General features: G+C 41.7%; 1 non-coding gene across 1 annotated transcript; it reads right to left on the reverse strand.

Moving 5' to 3' along the window:
* Positions 1–2,815: 2,815 nt before the first annotated feature.
* MIR548I4 (microRNA 548i-4) lies at positions 2,816–2,892 on the reverse strand. The gene has a single exon (NR_031690.1). It is a non-coding gene; the product is annotated as a microRNA 548i-4 (primary transcript).
* Positions 2,893–3,702: the final 810 nt, after the last annotated feature.

Consider the following 3,702-nt stretch of genomic DNA (forward strand, 5'->3'; position numbering starts at 1 on the left):
TTACAAATAGGCTCAGTGGAGGGATGCTGCAAGCAACAATCTGGTTGGAGGGAGGTACTCATTTAACGTAGCAACTCATATTCCCCTGAACTCCTGCAGTTATCACAAAACTTTAGTGAAATACCCATGGCTCCTCATCATAGAATGGTTGCCATTTTATTCCCTTTAAGATGATTTTACAATCCCCAAAGCAAGAAAATAAAATGAATGTGTTTGAAGTCTTGATTACTGTGACAAAAATAAGAAGAGGAAAAGCAAAAATTAAAGTTGTTGCTTTAATCAAAAGTCAATCTCACACTGTTGGCAGTGAAATAAGTGTTACTATCCAGTCATTAGGCACCACAGAAAAAGTTCAAGTGCCACAACAACAATAGTCTCAGAGAGGTTTGGGAAATACAAGTCACCCAATCACCCAGTGACATTTCCCAGGATTCACATTAAATAGACAAGAGGAATGGAATTATGCTATTCTTATTAAGCCACTCAACTAGAAAATGACAAAATAAAAGATAAGCCAGCAAAGGATCCCCACAACTCCCCTCAATACCCTCTTTGCATCCCTATTAAGTAGAGGAAATTAGATAAAATGAACAAAATGCTGCAGCTGGCAGCAGGCCACTGAAGAAGGAAACTTGCTAACTACAGCAAAAAATCAATGCTATTAAACAGGAGGTTGCAGAAGAATGGGGATTTAACCAAACAGTAAATAAAGAAGCTCCTAAAGCTGATTAATTAGAAGATGGAGCTACTGCTTGGAATGATGAAAGAAAAGAGCAAGTAGTTCCTGTGAAAGAAAGAATATATAAATGTTTGACATAATGGAAAACCATATTAATCTTACCATGAACTTATTTAGGGATACTAAAGCTCTATTGGAAACAATTCGTGTGATACAAACCTCCGAAAGTCACATATGATAAAATTTGTCAAGTATTAGAAGTATTCCAAGGCCAGGTATGGTGGCTCATGCCTCTAATCTCAGCACTTTGGGAGCCCAAGGAGGGAGGATTGTTTGAGGCCAGGAGTTCGAGACCAGCCTGGGAAACATACTGAGACCCTGTTTCTACTAAAAAAAAAAAAAAAAAAAAAGCAACACTTTTTTTTTAAAGAAGAGAATTCCAAACAAACCACAATGAATCTATTTTAAACTCTAGTTATTCTCTGTTTAAGTACTTATTTAAAGGTTGTGTTCAGAAAGCTGAAAGTACAGGCTAGCCTAAAGCCTACAAACAGAATGTTGTGTCCCATATTAATAGAGATTATGGATATCACAGCACTATCCACAAGTGTTAATAAATAACCTTAAATAATTTTTGAGACAGGGTCTTGGTCTGTTGCCTGGGTTGGAGTGCAGTGGTGTGGTTATGGCTCACTGCAGCCTTGACCTCCCAGGCATAAGTGATTCTCTCACCTCAGCCTCCCAAGTAGCTTGGACCACAGGCACATGCCACCATGCCTGGCTGGTTTCTTTATTTTTTTGTAGAGATGGGGTCTGGCTGGTCTCAAACTCCTGGGCTCAAGCCATCCTCCTGCTTCAGCCTCCCAAAGTGCTGAGATTAAAGGTATGGGTCACCACACCCAGTATAACATATTTATATCTTATACTTTCATATGTTGAAAAGTTGTTGTGGTTATTATTATTTTTGATTGGTTCAAATTTAGTTTTCCAGAGTACTGCCTGCCTACCACTGATGTTTATTCAAGGCCCAAGGACTCTTTAGACAGCGGGTGATGAATCCTGCCAGAACTGGGTCCTTCCCTTCAGGGCTGCGGATTCCCTTCTGACCCAGGGTAGGTCTAGAAATGTTGTCCAGGAGTTAGGGCCTGTCATGCGGGCTTCAGGACTCTGCTTGATGTTTTATTATATTGTGGCGAAGCTGGTATCCAAGTTGTAAGAAAGACAAAGTCCTCTTTACTCCTCCCTCTCCTGTCATCAAGGGAAAGGAGTCTCTCCCAGAGCTGTGAGCTAGGCTGCCTGGGGTGGGCGGATGGGTGACACAAGTACTCCTTTGGCCACTCCAGCTGGTGTCTCACTAGGTCCTGTGTACCCCAAGTCCACTGGCTCTGAGCCAAGCACAGCACCAGGACTTGCCAGGGAATTGTAGTCTTTGTGACTTAGGCTGCCTTTCAAATCTATTTAGGACCCCACTACTCTTTAGCTAGTGTTGGTGAGGCTAGCTGGAACCCAACTGCTGGGACAGATGACTCCCCTCCGGCTATCACTGTTCTAAATGCTCCCTCCGTGGACACCAGCTGAATCCTGCCCTGTGTTGCTTTCCGCTGGACAGGGCAGCACTGAGTTCCAATGAGAAGTCCCACAAGTACATAGATTCTCTCTCTGCACCACGGAGCTGGCCGCTGCTGGAGGATGAGGGAGGGGTGCACATCAGCAATTCAAGACTGTCTTTTCTGCCCTCTTCAGTGCCTCTTTCCTTGATACAATGTTAAAACCAGGTACTGTGATCACTCACCTGATTTTTGGTTCTCATGAAGGTGCTTTCTCGTGTGGATAGTTTTTTGATTTGGTATTCCTGTGGGGGTAGAAAGGGAGGATGATCGCTGGTGGGGTCTATTGGCCATCTTGCTCTGCCTCCTGTCTCTATAAGAGTCTTGAATAGACTGTTTCTTTCAAGTTAATGTCCACAACTCCTGAATGGTCTCAGATATAACTGATTCCTGGAAGCAGGTTCCCTCGGGTCTGAACAAAGGTTAATTGAGAACTGGAACACAGGTTCTAGTTACCCTGATGTGAAAAGCCCCAGGGCAAGGCAAGCAGCCCCATGCAGAGCACACCGGCCTGCACTGCCCTGCTCTTATAGGTTGGTGCAATAATATTTGTGGTTTTTGCCGTTAAAAGTATGGCAAAATCCGCAATTACTTTTGCACCAACCTAACACATAATTCTTTTAAATAAAAATTGGGATTTCACAGAAGCTCCAGCCTCAAAGGGCAGGAGCCAAGCTAGGAATAAAGGGAAAACAAGCCATCTGTTTAAAAGAGTATTCACATGGAAATTCCAATAAGGATTTCTAGAAGACTCAAAATAAAAGCTATCCTGATTACAACTGTTCCAAGTTGAGTATTGGGAGGACATACACTTGATTGTAAGATTTTGGAATTTAGGGCAAGAATTTGGGAAACAGCAAAATAGTATAGTGCTGAAACAATGTGCTTTAAGCAAAATAAAAAGTTGTTTAACAATTATTCAAACATTACCTACTAGAGAATGTGAACAAGAATTTACTATCCAAACCCACTAGCCATCTAAAAATGCTGAGCTCTGAATTGCTGTATAATTTGTAATACAAGGTGCTCATGCCAATACCCAGAGTTACTGCAAAACATTTCTTGGTAATATTGTAAAAACCAGCAGCAGGCAGCACTGCTTCAAATTTCACCATGTGTACACTTACCATCTACCAAACAATTCTAGAGAATACCCCCTCAAACTGTGACAAGACTAACATTATGAATGATAAACAAAGGACATTTTAAAGTAGCCAAAATAAGCACTTGCCTATGTGCTATGATTTAAGAGGCATTGGGAAAGGCACATGCCTCAAACTACATCCTTCATTAATGGTTGAAATCTCATCTTACCAATTTCTTAATTTAAAGATTTCAAAGCTGGTATGTTTCCACACTTCTCTTAGCCCTAAATTAAGATGTAATTGTTGCCGAGGAGGGCCAAGGGCTGATCTT

This window comes from Homo sapiens, chromosome X (assembly GCF_000001405.40).
Source record: "Homo sapiens chromosome X, GRCh38.p14 Primary Assembly".
Classification (NCBI taxonomy): domain Eukaryota; kingdom Metazoa; phylum Chordata; class Mammalia; order Primates; family Hominidae; genus Homo; species Homo sapiens.